At 53.0% G+C, this 20,375-nt stretch overlaps 3 protein-coding genes across 15 annotated transcripts in view, besides 7 other annotated features; 1 reads left to right on the top strand and 2 right to left on the bottom strand.

Annotated features, from left to right (window-relative positions):
- Window positions 143–1,084: an enhancer, noted in NCBI's record as "H3K27ac-H3K4me1 hESC enhancer chr6:42946179-42947120 (GRCh37/hg19 assembly coordinates)". NCBI's record gives its function as "activates a minimal SCP1, AML or CMV promoter by ChIP-STARR-seq in naive H9 embryonic stem cells {active_cell/tissue: H9 hESC(naive)}" and the evidence as "EXISTENCE:reporter gene assay evidence [ECO:0000049][PMID:30033119]".
- Window positions 344–15,660, top strand: PEX6 (peroxisomal biogenesis factor 6). Of its 6 annotated transcripts, none has more exons than NM_001316313.2 (17): window positions 344–992; window positions 4,487–4,650; window positions 5,439–5,522; window positions 9,538–9,640; window positions 9,724–9,857; window positions 10,540–10,651; window positions 11,027–11,235; window positions 11,962–12,157; window positions 12,667–12,743; window positions 12,868–13,000; window positions 13,078–13,283; window positions 13,420–13,481; window positions 13,736–13,844; window positions 14,157–14,273; window positions 14,373–14,450; window positions 14,596–14,735; window positions 15,054–15,660. In NM_001316313.2, the coding sequence occupies exons 1-17, from the start codon at window positions 375–377 to the stop codon at window positions 15,188–15,190; spliced, it is 2,679 nt and encodes an 892-aa protein (NP_001303242.1). In that variant the 5' UTR covers window positions 344–374; the 3' UTR covers window positions 15,191–15,660. The 6 variants fall into 6 exon arrangements, 5 of the variants coding, with proteins under 5 accessions (NP_001303242.1, NP_000278.3, XP_011512963.1 ...); NM_000287.4 differs by having other exon boundaries at window positions 344–1,256; XM_011514661.3 differs by lacking the exon at window positions 5,439–5,522 and having other exon boundaries at window positions 344–1,256.
- Window positions 393–772: a silencer, noted in NCBI's record as "silent region_17210". NCBI's record gives its function as "represses an Ori minimal core promoter by ATAC-STARR-seq in GM12878 lymphoblastoid cells {active_cell/tissue: GM12878}" and the evidence as "EXISTENCE:reporter gene assay evidence [ECO:0000049][PMID:35858748]".
- Window positions 7,264–8,132: an enhancer, noted in NCBI's record as "H3K27ac hESC enhancer chr6:42939131-42939999 (GRCh37/hg19 assembly coordinates)". NCBI's record gives its function as "activates a minimal SCP1, AML or CMV promoter by ChIP-STARR-seq in naive H9 embryonic stem cells {active_cell/tissue: H9 hESC(naive)}" and the evidence as "EXISTENCE:reporter gene assay evidence [ECO:0000049][PMID:30033119]".
- Window positions 8,133–9,003: an enhancer, noted in NCBI's record as "H3K27ac hESC enhancer chr6:42938260-42939130 (GRCh37/hg19 assembly coordinates)". NCBI's record gives its function as "activates a minimal SCP1, AML or CMV promoter by ChIP-STARR-seq in primed H9 embryonic stem cells {active_cell/tissue: H9 hESC(primed)}" and the evidence as "EXISTENCE:reporter gene assay evidence [ECO:0000049][PMID:30033119]".
- Window positions 11,388–11,584: a silencer, noted in NCBI's record as "fragment chr6:42935679-42935875 (GRCh37/hg19 assembly coordinates)". NCBI's record gives its function as "represses an EF-1alpha promoter that drives an FKBP-Casp9 reporter gene in an ReSE screen in K562 erythroleukemia cells {active_cell/tissue: K562}" and the evidence as "EXISTENCE:reporter gene assay evidence [ECO:0000049][PMID:32094911]".
- GNMT (glycine N-methyltransferase) lies at window positions 15,645–18,771 on the bottom strand. 3 transcript variants are annotated; one of them, NM_018960.6, is made up of 6 exons: window positions 18,552–18,771; window positions 17,186–17,313; window positions 16,647–16,763; window positions 16,311–16,453; window positions 16,076–16,197; window positions 15,645–15,990 (listed from the first exon to the last, which is right to left on the bottom strand). In NM_018960.6, exons 1-6 carry the CDS (start codon window positions 18,755–18,757, stop codon window positions 15,819–15,821), a joined length of 888 nt encoding a protein of 295 aa, NP_061833.1. In that variant the 5' UTR covers window positions 18,758–18,771; the 3' UTR covers window positions 15,645–15,818. The 3 variants fall into 3 exon arrangements, 2 of the variants coding, with proteins under 2 accessions (NP_061833.1, NP_001305794.1); NM_001318865.2 differs by having other exon boundaries at window positions 16,311–16,396; NR_134899.2 differs by lacking the exon at window positions 16,311–16,453.
- CNPY3-GNMT (CNPY3-GNMT readthrough) overlaps window positions 15,645–20,375 on the bottom strand; it is a 34,401-nt gene continuing 29,670 nt past the window's right edge. For 2 of the 6 annotated variants that reach the window (NR_134890.2, NR_134891.2), the window contains 3 exons: window positions 16,647–16,763; window positions 16,076–16,197; window positions 15,645–15,990 (listed from right to left, as the gene is read on the bottom strand). Coding sequence is in view for 3 of the 6 variants with exons in the window: in NM_001318856.2 (NP_001305785.1) it covers window positions 15,819–15,990; window positions 16,076–16,197; window positions 16,311–16,453; window positions 16,647–16,763; window positions 17,186–17,313 (682 nt within the window). In the remaining 3 variants the exon portion in view is untranslated. Of the gene's footprint in view, window positions 15,991–16,075; window positions 16,198–16,310; window positions 16,454–16,646; window positions 16,764–17,185; window positions 17,314–20,375 lie in introns of all 6 variants that reach the window. The other 4 variants (NM_001318856.2, NR_134892.2, NM_001318857.2 and 1 more) reach the window with 4 other exon arrangements.
- Window positions 18,323–18,372: an enhancer, noted in NCBI's record as "active region_24581". NCBI's record gives its function as "activates an Ori minimal core promoter by ATAC-STARR-seq in GM12878 lymphoblastoid cells {active_cell/tissue: GM12878}" and the evidence as "EXISTENCE:reporter gene assay evidence [ECO:0000049][PMID:35858748]".
- Window positions 18,551–19,052: an enhancer, noted in NCBI's record as "H3K4me1 hESC enhancer chr6:42928211-42928712 (GRCh37/hg19 assembly coordinates)". NCBI's record gives its function as "activates a minimal SCP1, AML or CMV promoter by ChIP-STARR-seq in naive H9 embryonic stem cells {active_cell/tissue: H9 hESC(naive)}" and the evidence as "EXISTENCE:reporter gene assay evidence [ECO:0000049][PMID:30033119]".

Below are 20,375 nucleotides of genomic sequence, written 5' to 3'. Positions count from 1 at the left end.
CAGTCATCCCGAGCATGCTGACTGTTCATTTATCAGTCAATAAACTGTTACGTTCATGCCACGGGGAAAAATAGTTAAGAGAACATTACTTCCGTAGAAGGCAAAGATAAATCCCTTAAGCACAAGTTCAAATGGCGCATGGGTAAACGCTACGCAACCGCAGCGATGAAGGTTACTGCCTATCGAGGCACGACGCAGATCAATCCGAGGCGCAGCTAACCCCCTCAGAGCAAGTTCGCGGCACCCGACCCCCCTCCCCTTTTCCTCTGGCCTCCCCTGACGGAAGCGGAAGCGGCCCTCGCGCACACTAGTCGTCTGGCTCTCTGGCTCCGGAAGCTGCGCTCCTTCACCCTCCTCGTTGGTGTCCTGTCACCATGGCGCTGGCTGTCTTGCGGGTCCTGGAGCCCTTTCCGACCGAGACACCCCCGTTGGCAGTGCTGCTGCCACCCGGGGGCCCGTGGCCGGCGGCGGAGCTGGGCCTGGTGCTGGCCCTGAGGCCTGCAGGGGAGAGCCCGGCAGGGCCGGCGCTGCTGGTGGCAGCCCTGGAGGGGCCGGACGCGGGCACCGAAGAGCAGGGTCCCGGGCCGCCGCAGCTACTGGTTAGCCGCGCGCTGCTGCGGCTCCTGGCACTGGGCTCCGGGGCCTGGGTGCGGGCGCGGGCGGTGCGGCGGCCCCCGGCGCTAGGTTGGGCACTGCTTGGCACCTCGCTGGGGCCTGGGCTCGGACCGCGAGTCGGGCCGCTGCTGGTGAGGCGCGGAGAGACCCTCCCAGTGCCCGGACCGCGGGTGCTGGAGACGCGGCCGGCGTTGCAAGGGCTGCTGGGCCCAGGGACTCGGCTGGCTGTGACTGAGCTCCGCGGGCGGGCCAGACTGTGTCCAGAGTCTGGGGACAGCAGTCGGCCCCCACCCCCGCCCGTGGTGTCCTCCTTTGCGGTTTCTGGCACAGTGCGGCGACTCCAGGGAGTTCTGGGAGGGACTGGAGATTCACTAGGGGTGAGCCGGAGCTGTCTCCGTGGCCTTGGCCTCTTCCAGGGCGAATGGGTGTGGGTGGCCCAGGCCAGAGAGTCATCGAACACTTCACAGCCGCACTTGGCTAGGGTGCAGGTCCTAGAACCTCGCTGGGACCTCTCTGATAGACTGGGACCCGGCTCTGGACCGCTGGGAGAGCCCCTCGCTGACGGACTGGCGCTTGTCCCTGCCACTTTGGCTTTTAATCTTGGCTGTGACCCCCTGGAAATGGGAGAGCTCAGAATTCAGGTAGGATAAAGGACTGGGGTCAGGAGTGCTTCCTCTTTCTTATACCCTCTTCTCTGTCTTAGGTAAATTGGAAGATTTAGGACTCGTGCCCCATATCATCCCGGACTTTGAACATAATGTTTCTAGCCGGGCGCGGTGACTCACGCCTGTAATCCCAGCACTTTGGGAGGCCGAGGCGAGCGGATCACTTGGGGTCGGGAGTTCGAGACCAGCCTGACCAACATGGAGAAACCCCGTCTCTACTAAAAAAATGTAAAATTAGCCGGGCGTGGTGGTGCATGCCTCTAATCCCAGCTACTTGGGAGGCTGAAGCAGGAGAATCGCTTGAACCTGGGAGGCGGAGGTTGCGGTGAGCCAAGATCGCGCCATTGGACTCCAGCCTGGGCGATAAGAGTGAAACTCTGTCTCAAAAAAAAAAAAAAAAAAGCATAATGTTTCTTAGCCTCATTTATCTATTTTCTTTTTCTTTCTTTCCTTTTTTTTTTTTTTTTTTTTTTTTTGAGATGGGGTCTTGCTCTGTCACCCAGGCTGGAATGTGGTGATGCGATCTCGGCTTACTGCAACCTCCGCCTCCCAGGTTCAAGCGATTCTCCTGTCTCAGCCTCCTACTACTGGCTCGCGCCACGACGCCCGGCTAATTTTTGTAATTTTTAGTAGAGACGGGGTTTCACCGTATTGGTCAGGCTGGTCTCGAACTCCTGACCTCAGGTGATCCACCCAAAGTGTTGGGATTACAGGCGTGAGCCACCTCACCCGGCCTATTGATCCATATTCTGTAATCAAAATATCATAAGCCTCCATAATGTAGTGGGGCATACAAAAGGCTTTCATCCATTCAGGTGAAAGGTGAAGTTTGGGTGTGGTGGTGCATGCCTGTAATCCCAGCTACTTGGGAGGCTGAGGCAGGAGAATTGTTTGAACCTGGGAGGTGGAGGTTGCAGTGAGCCCAGATCACACCACTGCACTCCAGCCTGGACGACAGAGCGAAATTCTGTGTAAAAAAAAAAAAAAAAAAAAGTGAGGTTTCAGATGTGTATGTTAATCTACTCAATCTAATTAGTTTATTGAATTGCTACAATGTATTCAGTATTGTGCTTTATAATATGGAGGATGATGTCTCTGTGCTTTTGCTCATTCTTATCCTTGACTTCAAATTGTTTCCTATTATTCTAGCCTCATCTGTTAAAATCCTACCCTCCTTTCCCTCAAGAGCCATCTAAAGATGACACCTTTATCACAAAGCCTTTCATGATCTCACAGCCACGAATTTAGAACTTCCTCCTATAGCATTTTCTATCTTTTTTATGGCATTTATTTTATTCTATCTTGTTATGATTACATAATCTGTTTAATCCCCAATTATATATTGTAAATACCTTGAAGGAAAGGAGTCTTTATTATCTTTGGTGCCTGGTGTTTAGTTTTAATATTTTATTAAATACATCCAAGGAAAGTTTTTGGTTTCTGCCTTTACTTCAAGAAGAAAGTTGTAGAACAGATAATAGTTGTTCCATTTCCATGGGTTACTGAGTAAAGACTCACCAGTTCGCCATAACAGACATAAGAGTGACAAAAAAATAAACCTTCATTGTGTAAAAAAAAAAAAGGCCAGGCGCAGTGGCTCATGCCTGTAATCCCAGCACTTTGGGAGGCTGAGCCAGGCAGATCACTTGAGGTCAGGAGTTCGAGACCAGCCTGGCCTACATGGTGAAACCTCATCTCTACTAAAAATACAAAAATCAGCCCAGTATGGTGGTGCACACCAGTAAACCCAACAACTGGGGAGGCTGAAGCAGGAGAATCGCTTGAACCTGGGAGGTGGCAGTTGCAGTGAACCCAGATCACACCACTGCACTCCAACCTGGGTGACAGAGCAAGATTCTGTCTCAAAAAAAGAAAAAAATGAAAGTTGTGTTTAGGGGGACAAATACAGTATAGTGTTTAATTAAGGACCTAGATATATGGTTTAGATGGTGCTGTCCAATATGGAAGCCACCAGCCACTTTGTGGCTTTTTAAATTTTTAAATTTAGTTAAAACTAAATAAAGTAAGCCTGGCTAACATGGCGAAACCCCATCTCTATTTTAAAAAATACAAAAATTAAATCCCAGCACTTTGGGAGGCCAAGGCAGGCAGATCACAAGGTCAGGAGATTGAGACCATCCTGGCTAACACGGTGAAACCCCGTCTCTACTAAAAATACAAAAAAAAAAAAAATTAGGTGTGGTGGCACATGCCTGTCGTCCCAGCTACTCTGGAGGCTGAGGCAGGAGAATCCCTTGAACCCAGGAGGCGGAGCTTGCAGTGAGCCGAGATGGTGCCACTGCACTCCAGCCTGGGTGACAAGCGAGACTCCATCTCAAGAAAAAAATAAAACCCACAAAAATTAGCCAGGCATGGTGGTGCACATGCCTATAGTCCCAGCTACTCAGGAGGCTGAGGCACAAAGAGAATCATTTGAACCCAGGAGGAAGAGGTTGCAATGAGCCGAGACTGTGCCACTGCACTTCATCATGGGCGACAAAGTGAGACTAAGTCTCAAAAAAAAAAAAAAAACTAAATCATGTTTTTTAGTTGCTTTAGCTACATTTCTTTGTTTTTGTTTTGTTTTTAGCCACATTTCAAGTGCTCAATAGCACATGCAGATATAGACTATTCCATTGTAGAGAGTTCTACTGGGCAGTACTAGAGTAACCAGTTAATACTTTGGGATGTCAGGTAGAGATACATGTGAAATACATGTGAAAGGGAGTGGATGTAGGTTTCCTCCTGAATGGAGGAAAAACTACTGGGGTACTCAAGAGTAGAGCTCATTGAACCAACCAATGACTGAACCAACCCGTTCAGCTTTTCCCACAGCCTGAATTCAGTTTCCCCACTAATGACCACTTAATGTTAATCCCTGTGGATGCCTGGTGTCACTAATAGGTCTTGTGGGAATAAATGTCTTTACCATTTCACTGGCTCTGGGCCAAGTTGAAAGTGTCACAGAAAGGTTATCTTTACTGAGAAAATTTTTTGGAGCCAGAGTCGGGATAGGAGGTGATATTCTCTTCCTGGTACCCATTAGAGGGAGAGGTTTTCAGGTCTGCTACCTCAGGCCCCACCTTCCACAAGCCTTGTGGTTATGGGAAAGACAGGATGGAAATAGACATGTTGGCTGCTGAGAGACAGGTTAGAGCCTGCCCCCTTAGGAGAAGGTTATAACGTGGTGGTTATTTCTCTAATAGAGGTACTTGGAAGGCTCCATCGCCCCTGAAGACAAAGGAAGCTGCTCATTGCTGCCTGGGCCTCCATTTGCCAGAGAGTTACACATCGAAATTGTGTCTTCTCCCCACTACAGCACTAATGGAAATTATGACGGTGTTCTTTACCGGCACTTTCAGATACCCAGGTTAGCTACCTAACCTTTTAAGGAGGATAGCTTCTCACCCTCATTACATTCCTCCTATCCCATGCCTTAGAACCAAGTACCCCAGAGGCCCTGGTTAAAAGAAGCCACATTTGCGGCTAGGTGCTGTGGCTCACGTCTGTAATCCCAGCACTTTGGGAGGCCGAGGTGGGCGGATCATGAGGTCAGGAGATTGAGAGCATCCTGGCTAACATGGTGAAACCCCGTCTCTACTAAAAATACAAAAAAAAAATTAGCCGAGTGTGGTGGTGGGCGCCTGTAGTCCCAGCTACTTGGGAGGCTGAGGCAGGAGAATGGCGTGAACCCGGGAGGTGGAGCTTGCAGTGAGCCGAGATCGCACCACTGCACTCTAGCCTGGGCGACAGAGCGAGACTCCGTCTCAAAAAAAAAAAAAAAAAAAAAAAACAAAAAAAACATTTCAGACAGATTGTGGTAGGCGCCTCTTGGTATATCAGGGAGACCACAGAAGAGAAATCTGAACCATGAGGTTAATTTGGACATTCCAAACAGAGACACCTGTGATTAAAGAGGGCTCCAAAAGAGCCAGGATCCTGCTCTGCCACTCATCTGTCTCTGATCCCCCTTTCTAGTCTCTCCACCATTTCCCCTAGCTCATCCTAAGACTGACTTGTTCCTTGGAGAACTGCGTGGGATCTCTGGGCGGGCAGTAGACTCAAGAAGTAGTCTGCATGTCGGGGGTGGACATGTGGTAATGAACACATGCTCATTACTCCCATTGTGACCTGACCAGGGCCACTGCTGTGTTGCAGGGTAGTCCAGGAAGGGGATGTTCTATGTGTGCCAACAATTGGGCAAGTAGAGATCCTGGAAGGAAGTCCAGAGAAACTGCCCAGGTATGCAGCTGCCTTCTGTCCTACAGCTGGGATTTGTAACCTGGGTGCATGAGTTCTACAATCCCCTCCCTGCAAATCATGTGTAATTTGTGCCCAAGAGGATTTCGTTGTCATGTATTTTGTGTGTGCGTGTGTGTGTGTAACAGGTTCTTGCTCTGTTACCCAGGCTGGAGTTTAGTGGTGCAAACACAGCTCACTGCAGCCTCTACCTCCATGGCTCAAGTGATCCTCCCACCTCAGCACTGCCTCTGCCCCAGTAGCTGGGACTACAGGTTCGCATCACCACGCCCAGCTATTGGTTTTTGTATTTTTAGTAGAGATAGGGTTTCGCCATGTTGACCAGGCTGGGCTCGAACTCTTGAGCTCAAGTGATCTGCCTGCCTTGGCCTCCCAAAGTGCTGAGATTACAGGTGTGCACCACTCACCCCCAGCCTGTGTACATTTTTTTGGAGAGAAAATTCACCTGTCCTTCAGTTCCCAAACAAGTGTATGACTGAAGAAAGGTTAAGAACCAGTCAGGCATGGTAGTGCATACTTATAATCCCAGCTACTCAGGAGGCTGGGCAATATAGCTAGACACTGTCTCAAAAAACAAGCAAACTAAAAGAACCACTCCCTGCTGGCTTTGGGAGGTGTTTATCCTCAAACTGACTGGTGGCCCTATGTAAAGCAAAGCACTAAGAAGAGTTTAGGCCAGGTGTGGTGGCTCACGACTGTAATCCCAGCACTTTGGGAGGCTGAGGCAGGCAGATCACTTGAGGTCAGGAATTCAAGACCAGCCTGGCCAATATGGTGAAACCCTGTCTCTACTAAAAATACAAAAATTAGCCGGGTGTGATGGTGGGCATCTGTAATCCCAGCTACTCAGGAGGCTGAGGCGGGAGAATCACTTGGACCTGGGAGGCAGAGGTTGCAGTGAGCCCAGATCGCATCACTGCTCTCCAGCCTGGGTGACACAGCAAGACTCCATCTCAAAAAATAAATAAATAGGTAAAATTTAAATTCTTTTCTTTTTAAAGAAGAGTTTAATGGCCTAGACCAAGACGGGATTCCTTCCTTTCCGTTCTTAGCCTTCGTGTTATTTGGACCAAGACTTGGGCCATACCATCCATATCTCAACGTAAGGATATACAGGCTCTGATTTCTGCCTTAACTACGGAGTGTGCACAAACTACTTCTCAATCCTATCTCTGAAAACAGGAGAGGGATTTCTCTTTTTTTTTTTTTTTTTTTGAGACAGAGTCTTGCTTTGTTGCCCAGGCTGGAGTGCAGTGGCGCAATCTTGGCTCACTGCAAGCTCCGCCTCCCGGGTTCATGCCATTCTCCTGCCTCAGCCTCCCAAGTAGCTGGGACTACAGGTGCCCACCACCACGCCCGGCTAATTTTTTGTATTTTTAGTAGAGATTGGGTTTCACCGTGTTAACCAGGATGGTCTCGATCTCCTGACCTTGTGATCCGCCCGCCTCGGCCTCCCAAAGTGCTGGGATTACAGGCGTGAGCCACCGCACCCAGCCAGGGATTTCTATTGTTTTTGAGAGGGCTACCCTGTCCTATCAACAGAGAATGAGAAATAGAGCATAACCGAGCCAAGAACCCAAAATAAGGAATCCAGCTTTTCTCCTCTTGTTGACTCTGACCACAGAGGTTCCATGTAAAATGGTGAGGCAAAGAATTGAGACACTGCTTTAGCCTTATGTGTAGGGAGGAAAATGTATAGCTCTGTATCCCAGCATTCCCTGTATTCTGGACTCATTTCCTGCAGCAGTTTACTAGAAGGAGAGCACAGCTGATAGATGCACTAACTCATACATAAGAGCCTTCATGTCCAAGGTCTGTGGCATAGCCAGCCTGGGTCCTCTGCCAGGAGAGACAGTCCTTGTTTGGAGTGCCTGATGTTCATCCCTGGTCAATATCCAGTGCTTGGTTCTGGCCAGTGCTCAGTACCCCCAGTCTCAGGGTGGTGGTGCTCTGTGGAACCCCATTTAGGCTCCATGTCACCTCTTCGAGGTTTTCCAGATTAAGTCCACGAGTCTGGTGGAAAATGCCAGGCTGGCACTTAGCAGTCACTTCCCACCTCTCTCTCCTATCATAAATTTAGCAAACGTCTTTGAGCTAGCTTTCAGTAGGAAAACTACAGAATGCCCACTCTTTGTACTTTCAAAGGAAAATAGGCACTAGAACCTCATGAGACAGGCTGGCAAGCCAGTTCTGTTCCTGAACTTCTATTGTCTCAACTCTGTAGAACCCTGCTTTCCTCCTGAGTGCCGAGCACATAGTTCTTTTCCCCGCAAGGAAAGCAGGGTTGGAGTAAGTGGCCCAATGGGTCCAAGGACAGATACAGATGAGCGTTTTAAGCTGCACTGGGCTTGAGAAGGGAAGCCCTGCAGAAGTTCCTGTGAGCCCTGGAAAGGAATTCCACTGTTGGTGTAGCCTCTTCATCCTGTCCCTGGTGCTCCACTTCCCCAAACCAGGCTGCATGGGAGCCAGCTCCACTATCACCTATCTGGCTGGCTGGAGCACAGCTCAGTGTTCCTTAGCAGTGTCCACATAGGTTCCAGAGCTCTGGCCTTTCTATTCACTGAGGTGGTCCAACCACCCTCCACTGAAGAAGGTGGTCTCTCCCTATGCCACAGTGCTGTCCCCCATCTCATTCCTATGCAGGGCTTCCATGGTGAGTCATACACACCATGACTCAGCTGTTGAGCTTGATCGAGATCCTAGGTTAGAGGCCCACTGTCACCTATTTATAATTAATTATAGGCAGATTCAGGCTTCCTGATGTTCCAGGTTTACTGTAGTACTTAGAAGAGTTTCATAATACTAACCTGGTATGCTTCCCCTCCACCTTGCTGCACTCTCACACCCCTTTGCTGCTAGAGAGAGCAGCTTTGAGACTGTGGGGCAGTGTGAGCAGAGGAATTTGCAGCCTGATTGGACCTTAAAGAGGACTAGGTTATAGCCTGACTCTGTCATTGCCTTGCTGCCTGAGGATTAAAGAGGGAAGTAGTTCATGATTTCTTTATCTGGAAAATTGGGTTAGTAGCTGTTCCTGCTACCCATCCTATTCCCCGTTAGTAGGTTGAATAACCCTAACTCACTATGACACTCGCCAACTACTGCGCAGCCCTGGTTATGCATCAGAATTGCTGGGGAAGCTTTCAAAAAATACAGGTGCCTAAGCCCCACCCCAGATCTATTGGGGCAGAATCAGGGTGAGACTGGAGCCTGTGCTTTTTTTCCTTCACAAAGGAAGGAGAAAGGTTAATTTTAAAAACATAAAATTCACACACCATAAAACCATACTTTTAAAGTATACAATTCAATTTTTTTATTCATAAGGTTGTACAGCCAACATCACTGTTTCATTCCAGAACATTTTCAACATCTCAAAAAGAAACTCTGCACCCATTAGCAGTCATTCCCTGTAGCTTCCCTCATAGGCAATGGCAACTGCTGATCTGCTGAATAGAATCATATAATATGTGAGAAATGTTTAGTTTTTAAAGTTACACAGATAATTCCAATGTGCAGCCAGAATACAGAACCATTATTCATCAGATGGCATTATTAAGGACTCCGCCTGCAATGAGATTTTGTGGATTATTGAGTAAGAGCCAAGGGACCCTTCCCCCTAGGGTTTTTGGGGCCTGGATGGCTGTGTATTTGAGGGGGAGACCGAAGCCAGTAGAAGTAATCAGATGATCCACTGCTTAGTGCAGCAGCAGCTTCTCCCATTGGTGTGGGTGGGTAGGCCACATGCCTGGAGAAACACACCCCCTCAGAGCTCTCATGGCTGTCATGGGGGATGCAGAGGGACAGGCATAGCTCTTGCCCTCAAGGTGTGTATGGTCTGTCAGGAAGATGAGAAAGTCCATCTGCATTCCTTTTCCCCACCATGACTCGGGACACGCTCTTGTGGTGCTTTTGTTTGTCCTCTGTGATTGAGAAACCTTGTCCTTGAGGAGGGGGGTTTTTGGACTCTGGATCTGGGGTTCATTGGGCCTTTTTCCTGCAGGTGGCGGGAAATGTTTTTTAAAGTGAAGAAAACAGTTGGGGAAGCTCCAGATGGACCAGCCAGTGCCTACTTGGCCGACACCACCCATACCTCCTTGTACATGGTGAGGCCCCAAGGATGGGTGTAGACCAGCGCAGGGGGTAGAAACGATTTTTAGAAACGAAAGCTTTTTATTACCTTTCACAGGTGGGTTCTACCCTGAGCCCTGTTCCATGGCTCCCTTCAGAGGAATCCACTCTCTGGAGCAGTTTGTCTCCTCCAGGCCTGGAGGCCTTGGTGTCTGAACTCTGTGCTGTCCTGAAGCCTCGCCTCCAGCCAGGGTGAGTGAGGTCATCACCCCAGGGTGTGAGAAAAGCCTGCTTAGAACATCCCTGGAGGAGCAGCAGCCAGATGGGTAGTTCCTAATGAACTGGCCAGAGTGGGATTGGGAGGACCTTCCTCAAACCAGTATGTCCTACACAAGGCCACCAGGCCACTCCTTTCTGTAAGCCAATTCCCAGGCTCCTTTCCTGGGATAACCTCTGTCCTCCAGGGCTGGCTCTGGAGGAAGAATCTCCAGCAGGGGCATCTGTTTCTGAGACTGCCCTTCCCCTTGGGGAGCTCACTGGCCATCCTGCACTTTACTGCCCTGGCCCTGAAGGACACAACTCCTCATACCAGTGGCCCAGGTGTGGACGCAGATCCCCACCTCAGTGCCACCACAATGTCTCTCAATACCATTCAGACCAGTCATAACGTTGAGGTTTTATTGGCAGCACAGCAATGCCAAAGGGAATTAATTAGTCTTTGGCTGTTGGATATGCTGGATGCCCCGGCCAGAGCACCGCAGGTGGTGTGGGAGACACAGCCTCACTACATGGGGACAGCCCTGTCCTGGGGTCAGGGAGGCTCAAGGAGAGAAAAACAGGGTATCTGCTTTCTAGATCTAAGGGATCTTGTGTTACTGGGGACTCTAATGTTTGGGCAAAATGAAGGAGACGAATGTCTGTTCTCTGGTTGCAGGGGTGCCCTGCTGACAGGAACTAGCAGTGTCCTTCTACGGGGCCCCCCAGGCTGTGGGAAGACCACAGTAGTTGCTGCTGCCTGTAGTCACCTTGGGCTCCACTTACTGAAGGTGAGGGTCTCTGGAGAGTAGAACCCCAGCTACTTCCCCTCCCCAGCTCATGTTCTCCCTCTCTGCTGCTTCCTCTCCCCTCCCTCCTCTGTCTACTCACAGGCCCTAGCACTTCAGCCCAGTGGGTCAGGCATATTCCCATGATGCTGAGCTATGGAGAGGTACTTTCAAGGAGGAGGGAGTTGCAAGATATTGGTGGACAGTCCAGGGAATGGGATAGGGTAAAAAAGAGGTAGGACTTGGCCAGGGTACCTTCCCTGTCCCTGCCCTCCAGAGAAAAAGATGGCCCACATCTTCCACCTCCTCCTCCCCTGATTCTCCTGCCCTTGTCATGCTTTCCCCTTGCTCACAGACCCATTGGGATCCCCTCCCCAGGTGCCCTGCTCCAGCCTCTGTGCAGAAAGTAGTGGGGCTGTGGAGACAAAACTGCAGGCCATCTTCTCCCGGGCCCGCCGTTGCCGGCCTGCAGTCCTGTTGCTCACAGCTGTGGACCTTCTGGGCCGGGACCGTGATGGGCTGGGTGAGGATGCCCGTGTGATGGCTGTGCTGCGTCACCTCCTCCTCAATGAGGACCCCCTCAACAGGTACTTATACAGAGCTGGGCCTCTCAAAGCTGGGGGGGCCGGCTGGGCGCGGTGGCTCACACTTATAATCCCAGCACATTGGGAGGCCGAGGCAGGTGGATCACCTGCCTTGATCAGGAGTTCAAGACCAGCCTGGCCAACATGGTGAAACCCTGTCTCTACTAAAAATACAAAAATTAGCTGGGTGTGGTGGCGGGTGCCTGTAATCCAGGCTACTTGGGAGGCTGAGGCAGGAGAATCACTTGAGCCCAGGAGGCGGAGGTTGCAGTGAGCCAAAATCATACCATTGCACTCCAGCCTGGGCGACAAGAGCAAGACTCAGTCTTAAAAAAAAAAAAAAAAGGGGGAGCGGGGGGGCCAGCCCTCCTACTTTTCAGCCTTTCAGTCCTCCCTTCTCTCACCCCTCAGTGGCTTCTCAGTCATCTCCCATCCATTTGGCTGCCCTCTAGACAGCCCTGAGCTCCGTGTCTTTAGAGGGATCCAGAGGGAGGAGTCTGTGGTCTAGCATTTCTTGGGGAACACTCGGTTAAAGAAAAAGCCTCTGCCCTCAATGTGATGGGGGAAACACAGTTCCCCCATCTAGGAACTGGGGTAGATGCTCATCTCCCTACCCCATCCTAGCACCCACCTCACTTCCCTGCCCTTCTGTGCCGACTTTGGGACAAGGCAGTCCACAGGAGCTGCCAGCCATGTTCTCACCCTCAGTGCCCACTCCTCTGTCTGCAGCTGCCCTCCCCTCATGGTTGTGGCCACCACAAGCCGGGCCCAGGACCTGCCTGCTGATGTGCAGACAGCATTTCCTCATGAGCTCGAGGTGCCTGCTCTGTCAGAGGGGCAGCGGCTCAGCATCCTGCGGGCCCTCACTGCCCACCTTCCCCTGGGCCAGGAGGTGAACTTGGCACAGCTAGCACGGCGGTGTGCAGTGAGTATCAAGGGAGAGTACTGGCCCTCCCTAGGAGGTCCCTGGCTTTTGTTACAAGAACTCAGTCCTGTTGCCTTGTGAGTGAGAGTAGAAAACCCAGCGCGGGCGCCGTGGCTCACGCCTGTAATCCTAGCACTTTGGGAGGCCGAGGTGGGCGGATCACCTGAGGTTGGGAGTTTGAGACCAGCCTGGCCAACATGGAGAAACCCCGTCTCTACTAAAAATACAAAGTTAGCCAGGTGTGGTGGCACATGCCTGTAATCCCAGCTACTTGGGAGGCTGAGGTGAGATAATCGCTTGAACCCGGGTGGAAGTTGCGGTGAGCCGAGATCGCGCCATTGCACTCCAGCCTGAGCAACAAGAGCAAAACTCCGTCTCAAAAAAAAAAAAAAAAAAAAAACAACAAACCTAAGGCATCAACAGAGGGCCTCTGCTCTAGCTGGGGGACGGTCCCTGAAGGTTCCTGCCTACTGTGCCCTGCTCATGTGTCCTTTCCTGTGGTTCCCTAGGGCTTTGTGGTAGGGGATCTCTATGCCCTTCTGACCCACAGCAGCCGGGCAGCCTGCACCAGGATCAAGAACTCAGGGTAAGAGGACGTGGGCACCGGAAAGGCGGAAAGAGGAAATGGATGTAGATGGGTGGGTGGTGAGGAAGGGAGAAGGGAATGGGACGCTGATGGTGAGGAGGCTTCCCTGTGTTCCTCTTTGCAGTTTGGCAGGTGGCTTGACTGAGGAGGATGAGGGGGAGCTGTGTGCTGCCGGCTTTCCTCTCCTGGCTGAGGACTTTGGGCAGGCACTGGAGCAACTGCAGACAGCTCACTCCCAGGCCGTTGGAGCCCCCAAGGTGGAGACCAAGTCCTTGGAGGTGGGACAGGAGCCCCTCCAAGAGCATATCCCAACCACGCACTTTCCATCTCCTAGATCCCCTCAGTGTCCTGGCATGATGTGGGTGGGCTGCAGGAGGTGAAGAAGGAGATCCTGGAGACCATTCAGCTCCCCCTGGAGCACCCTGAGCTACTGAGCCTGGGCCTGAGACGCTCAGGCCTTCTGCTCCATGGGCCCCCTGGCACCGGCAAGACCCTTCTGGCCAAGGCAGTAGCCACTGAGTGCAGCCTTACCTTCCTCAGGTGGCCAGGGGGCCTGGAAGGGATGGTGGGTGGATCAGGGGCTGCAGCAGGCTGGGGAGCAGGAGGGGCTGCCCAAGAGGTCAATTGTGTGTATGTGCATCTGACGGCTCTCACCTTCTCACATCCTCTCACTCAGCGTGAAGGGGCCAGAGCTCATTAACATGTATGTGGGCCAAAGTGAGGAGAATGTGCGGGAAGGTGAGTGAGCAGGGAGGGGCAGGGCGTCCCATGCTTCCCAAACCCCGATGGCCCCCAAGCCACCCCCTACTCCCAGGCTACTCATGATCATTCCTAATCCTCCTTTCTACAAGTCAGGTTCCTGCCCAGCTGGGTCTAGTACCTGGGATGCCAGTGCTGTATTGTCAGGCCCCAGTTTCCCTCCCTGCTCTCACCTAACTTCAACCCCCCACAAGCCGAGCTTTGCCCTCCTGTGGGCCCCTCTCTCTCTTCAGTGTTTGCCAGGGCCAGGGCTGCAGCTCCATGCATTATCTTCTTTGATGAACTGGACTCTTTGGCCCCAAGCCGGGGGCGAAGTGGAGATTCTGGAGGAGTGATGGACAGGTAGGGGTCTGAGTGGGAATGAAAGCTGAGGGGTCCAGGGTGGGAAGGATATGAGAAAGCTCACAGCAGTCTTCAGAGTCCAGAGATAGAAGTTCCTGCTGTTTCAGTTCTGAGATAATATAATGGAAGCTGAAAGGGGCCATGAAATTGGGCAGGGTCCACTGAGGAGAATGGGGGCCTACCTGGTGGGGCACATTGGGCACAGCTGAGTGGAGGGCCCTGTTGAGACTGCCTGTAAAGAGAGGTACCACAGGCAGGGGCAGAGTCTAAGGGGGACACCAAGGACTCTTGCCCTTGCTCCCTTCTCTCCAGGGTGGTGTCTCAGCTCCTTGCCGAGCTAGATGGGCTGCACAGCACTCAGGATGTGTTTGTGATTGGAGCCACCAACAGACCAGATCTCCTGGACCCTGCCCTTCTGCGGCCTGGCAGGTGGGCCCCTTGTACTGCTCATCTCCACCCTCATTTTGTGCCTCCTTCACCCCTCATGGCTGGGCTCCCTGAAACTTATACCTGCCTATCTCCCTAAAGATTTGACAAGCTGGTGTTTGTGGGGGCAAATGAGGACCGGGCCTCCCAGCTACGCGTTCTAAGTGCCATCACACGCAAGTATGCTCTGTTAGAGGAAGACTGCGAAGGGCTTGGGCCTTGGGATGCTTAGGGGATGCATGCAACATGCAGGATGAGCTGGTCAGCACTGGCTTTCGAGGGAGGAGGTGATGCCAACTCTGTTTCTTCCTGTATCCCACAACAGATTCAAGCTAGAGCCATCTGTGAGCCTGGTAAACGTGCTAGATTGCTGCCCTCCCCAGCTGACGGGCGCGGACCTCTACTCTCTCTGCTCTGATGCTATGACAGCTGCCCTCAAACGCAGGGTTCATGACCTGGAGGAAGGTGAGCCACTTGCCGGTCTGAGAGGTCAACCAAAAAGCTAGTGGGGAGCTGGGTGCACCTGAGTCCCAGCTACTTGAGAGGCTGAGGTGGGAGGATCGCTTGAGCCCAGGAGTTTGAGGCCAGCCTGGGCAACACAGAGAGACCCCAACTCTAAAAAAAATGTTTAAGGGAAAAAAAAAACTAGTGGGAGACAAACCTAGTCCTGGATTCCAGAGGGAAGATCATTGACATCTAGGAGACCCTGAGCAGGAAGCCACCTTCGCAGGGCTCTCCCCTGCCTGGGCATAGACCACAGCCTCCCCACCTTGTCATCTCCAGGGCTGGAGCCAGGTAGCTCAGCACTGATGCTCACCATGGAGGACTTGCTGCAGGCTGCCGCCCGGCTGCAACCCTCAGTCAGTGAGCAGGAGCTGCTCCGGTACAAGCGCATCCAGCGCAAGTTTGCTGCCTGCTAGGAGCCCCCCAGGGTCTGGGACCCCGCTCAGCATGGCTGCAGGTACCTTGATAGCCCACAGAGAGATCTGGGAAGGAAGGGCTCCTCCTCAGGCTGCTGCCAACCCACCTGGAGGCCACCTCCCTCCAGGAGATCCCAGGGTGCAAAGTGGCATTGAGACAGCAGCAACAGCTCAAGAGATATCTCCTGCCTACTTGCCCCTCCTTCCAGGCCGGCTCTAAGAGAAAGGCCCATCTACTCAGGAAGAGGGCCAGGGCCTTGGGTTCTGGGGATTGGGCCCTGAGAGGGCTAGTTCTGTGGCTGAAAATAAAGCATGTCCCGCCCCCTACTGGTGTTGTGGCATGAAAGGTTGGAGTGAGAAAGAGCAGGGTTGTGGGAGGAGTAAGCCCTGGGAGAGGGTGGGGGGGTGGGCAGCATGGGAGCCTGATCCTTCTGACATAAATAAACACAATGCATGCAGGAACTGAAAAAGACTATATTGTTTACCCTTCCGTCTGTGGAACCCACATCCCTGCACCCCAGCTGTAGTCTGCTCTAGAGGCTGGCCCTGGTGTGGGGCTGCTGGTCCCCATCTTCCAGACAGAGCCTAGCAGTGCCTGGGCAGAGGCTTGTGGGAGCTGAGGCCACACTCAGTCTGTCCTCTTGAGCACGTGGATGAAGTAGCAGGGAATGTAGGTTTGGCCTGGCTTGTAAGGCTTGAAGTCGCCCAGGACGCTGTGCTGGCACTTACCTCCGAAGGCTGCTTGGAGCAGCTCCGTGAAGGATGCCAGACAGTGTGGGTAGTAGGAGAGCCGGAACTTACTGTAACAGAGGCCCCAGCAACCATGAGGACTGGTGACCTCAGCTCCCCCAACTACCGCCTCACCCCCACTAAGCCAAGTGGTACCTCAAGCCAGGAGAGCCATCCTGGCCAGCCCCCGGCACCTGCACCGTATAGTCCAGGGTCACCATGTGGGCCTTGTTGTTCACTATCAGCACTGATGTTGTGACGTCCTTGGTCAAGTCACTCTGTAGGTGGTGGGGCAGCCGGCATTAGCCTCTGTAACCCACCTTGGGGCCACTGGACCCTCCCTCCACCCCACCCCCACCCCCACCCCCACCCCCACCCCAGAGGGCCCCACCTTATAGTAGATGTTCTTCCCTGGGGGTGCACAGCCTGTACTGAGGATGTGGTCGTAGTTGCGATGATCAATGACCAGTAGGCCCCCTGCCCGCACCATGCTCGCAATGTTTTTCAGCGCCAGCCGGTGCTCACTCTGGTCCCCTGAGCTCCAGGCACGGGCAGAAAGACTCCATCTGCTCAGGGCCCCCAGCACCAGTCTCCCTCCCATCTCTCCCCTCCCCAGGGGTGCCAGAGCCAAGGCAGAGAGTCTGCTTTGGCAGGAGAGCAGGTGCCAGATGTCTGTGGAAGGGGGCCTCAAGGCGGGGGCCATGCCCAAGGCCACACCCTCTCTTACCTTTGCAGTCTGGCAAGTGAGCGAAACTGTTTCCAAGGCAGATGACAGCATCAAAGCCACCCTCTGCTGACTGGGGCACATCTTTGTCCAGAGTCATCCAGTTGGCTTCTTCGATGACTAGGGGTCAGGAAGAGAAAGAGGAATCAGGGAGGCACGATGGTACCAGTAGCAGCCACCTCCACCAAGTGCAGTCCTGCCTGGGTTTCTTCTTAAGACACACAAGCTCCCCGTTCAGTTAGGGGGAGGAGAAAAGAGGGATCAAGGGAGAAGGAACCCTGGTTGGGAAGGAGGGCTCTGTGCTTATGGGTTTTTCTTTGAGGGGAGGGACAAGATGCCACAAACACAGTTAAAACCAGCTCTTCACACCCGGTGTCTCATTCTGGAGCTTAAGACTTGCTTTTCAGAGAAATGACAGTAATTTTTCTGTCTCCCCGAGGAAAACACAACACTCCACCCCCGCCCCCACTTAAAGGAGCCCCAGGCAGAATGAACAGTGTTCCTGGTGACTGGGCTGGGGGAGCCTGGCTAGACCTGCATACCCCACTTGTCGAAGGCGGGCTCGTGCCGCCGGTTCCAGCGCTCCTTAAGTGCATACTTCAGCATCTTGTCACTGGCATCCACACTCGTCACACTGAAGCCCTCTTCCACCAGCATAATGGAGTCCACCCTGAGTACGGCCAGCGAGGAGAGGCAGAGAGAGGCAGTTAGGGGAGCCTGGGAGGGCCAGGAGGAGACCCTGCACTGGACACTTTTGTCTCTACTTCTCAGAGTCCGTTCCTCTGCCTCCTCTCCCCAGGCCCTCTCCACTGACCTCACAAATCTGTTTCCTGTCACCACAAGGCAACTTTTTTTTAAAAGCACCTCTTCAGAGCCAGGCACTCTACAAATATGCATTAATTCTCATGGCAATCCTGAGAGGTAAATAGTGTCATTCCCATTTGAGAGACAGACAAGCTGAGGCTCCTTGAAGTTAAAATACGTGTGCACAAAAGGCAGTAGAACATGGTGGTTTAGAGCACAGGACAAAGCCGGGCGCGGTGGCTCATGCCTGTAATCCCAGCACTTTGGGAGGCCGAGGTGGGCAGATCACAAGGTCAGGAGATCGAGACCATCCTGGCTAACACGGCGAAACCCCGTCTCTACTAAAAATACAAAATATTAGCTGGGCGTGGTGGCAGGCGCCTGTAGTCCCAGCTACTCGGGAGGCTGAGGCAGGAGAATGGCATGAACTCAGGAGGCGGAGCTTGCAGTGAGCCGAGATGGAGCCACTGCACTCCAGCCTGGGCGACAGAGCACGACTTCATCTCAAAAAAAAAAAAAAAAAAAAAGAGAAAAATAGAGCACAGGACAGATCTTAACCAACCCGGGCCTGTTAGCTCCTTTTCACTGGATGATGTATGAGGGAATTTTACTTTGCTGAGGCCTTACTTCCCCAGTAGTAAATGAGAGAATATCACTGCTTAACTTCATGGGGCTTTGTGAGGGTTTGAAAAAGTGATGTATCAAAAGCTCCTGGCACTGGGCTTGGCAGGTGCAAATGTTGAGCAATGTTAACTGTTAACACTGCCCAAGGCCATCACAGGAGGAATATTTGCAATCTGTCCGTGGCTCTGGCTCCAAAGCCTCAGGGACGCTCACTTTTTCTGCCCACACCCTCACTCACACTCAGTCTCCCTTCTCCGGGGCCTCTCCCTGCGAACCGCTACCTGGACCCCTAGCCTCACGGGGCACTCGCAGTGCCTGTTCTGCCGGGCAGGTACCTGCTCCTGGCCCTGGTGTCCCACCCGTTCCAGGATTGGCAAAGGCCGCCCTGACGTGCCCGGCCCTGTGGTTCTGCGGCCGCGCAGTACAGGCTGAGACAGACCCCGATCTCATGCAACGCCCCCGGCCCCGGCCTGGGCTCACCCAGTGCCACAGGCTACGTCGAGCACCCGCTGGCAGCCGTGCTGGCGCAGCAGCCCAAGCAGCCATGCCTTGTACTCGGCGGTGCGGCTGCGGGTGTCTCCGATATACAGCTGCCACACGCGCGCCGCCTCCCCGTCCGCGTACTGGTCCGGGAGCCCTTCGGCCGCCACCCCCAGGGAGCGGGTCCGGTACACGCTGTCCACCATCCTGCGCCGCGCCTGGCTCCGCAGCCACCCGCTCCGCACTTAAAGCATAAGCACTGCTGGCAGCCGACAGCCCCACCTGGCCAATAGCAGGTGAGCGCGCGGACACGCCCCTGCCGGGCTTTGGGCCGGGCGCCCGAGTCTGTCCAGCTGCAGGGAGGGCGCTGCCTCGCAATCCTGGGCTAGGTCCTTTTAGCCAGCCTGCGGACCCAGCCCTCTGTGCAATCCCACGGCGGGAGAGGACCCTCGGAGCCCTCTGCCCACTTAACCCGGGTCTCGAGGAGAAGGCGAGAGGGGTCAGGAGAGGCGGGAGCAATGAGATTGCCACTCCATCCCCTGAGATCCGCAGAGCTGAGCGCCAGGCGGGCAGGACTGGACCGTTCCCAGCGAAGGAAGGCATCAGCATATCTAAACAAAGATTGTGCCACCGAAGTGTGTAGGTATAGTCAGCCGGTGCAGGGAAGACAGGGGGAGTCTCTGGAGGTAAAGCTGGTCTGTCCACCGAATCCAGGGGCGGAGCCCGGCTGGAATACGGTAACACGGTAACACGGTGAAACCTGGCTAACACGTCTCTACTAAAAATAAAGAAAGATTAGCTGGGACATGGTGACACGCGCCTGTAGTCCTAGCTACTCCGGAGGCTGAGCCAGGAGAATCGCTTGAACCCGGGAAGGCGGAAGTTGCAGTGAGCCGAGTGCACCACTGCACTCCAGCCTGGGCAACAGAGCAAGACTCCGTCTCAAAAAACAAAAAGCAAAAAACAAACAAAACCCTCTGCTTTCACAGGAAGCAGGAGAATAGGGTCTAGAGACAGGGAACATAAGGCCAATTCACACTTCAGTTATAACGGGAAATATCCTCTCCATAGGGCGTATGCCCGCCATTAATAACTTTGTAACTGTAACTTTACTTCATCCTCTTCATTTACATAGGGTGTACCCCAAGTAGAGGGTATTTAAACTCACAAAATGTAACAGGGCCTTTGAGCCCCTATGCTCATGCTCGCTCCCACACTGTGGAGTGTACTTTCATTTTCAATAAAATCCTTCATTCCTTTCTTGCTTTGTTTGTGCATTTTGTCCAATTGTTTGTTCAAGATGCCAAGAACCTGGACATCCTCTACCGTTAACATATTTTGGCGAGCCAGCCAGCAGAAAGAGGTAAGCCCAAAGTTTGGGATTCATTTTTCTCCCTTTCCTTTCTGCTCAATTACAGGGCCGCTCTCGCGCTTCTCTCTCTCTCTCTCTCTCTCTCTCTCTCTCTGCCTCTCTCCTCCTTCCTTTCCAACTTGGGACCCTTGGTGGGCAGCGCCTAAACATGGAAGCAACTGCAGGGTTTTTTTTTGTTTTTGTTTTTGTTTTGAGACACAGTCTCGCTCTGTCGCCAGGCTGGAGTGCCGTGGTGCAATCTCAGCTCACTGCAATCTCCGCCTCCCAGATTCAAGCAATTCTCCTGCCTCAGCCTCCTGAGTAGCTGGTATTACAGGCGCTCACCACCACGCCCGGCTAATTTTTGTATTTTTAGAAGAGGCAGGGTTTCACCATGTTGGTCAGGCTGGTCTCAAACTCCTGACCTCGTGATCCACTGGCGTCGGCCTCCCAAAGTGCTGGGATTATAGGTG

The sequence above is a fragment of the Homo sapiens genome, chromosome 6 (genome assembly GCF_000001405.40).
Source record: "Homo sapiens chromosome 6, GRCh38.p14 Primary Assembly".
NCBI lineage: Eukaryota > Metazoa > Chordata > Mammalia > Primates > Hominidae > Homo > Homo sapiens.
The sequence above is the reverse complement of the archived record's forward strand: the minus strand, read 5'-3'. Positions and strand labels throughout refer to the sequence as shown.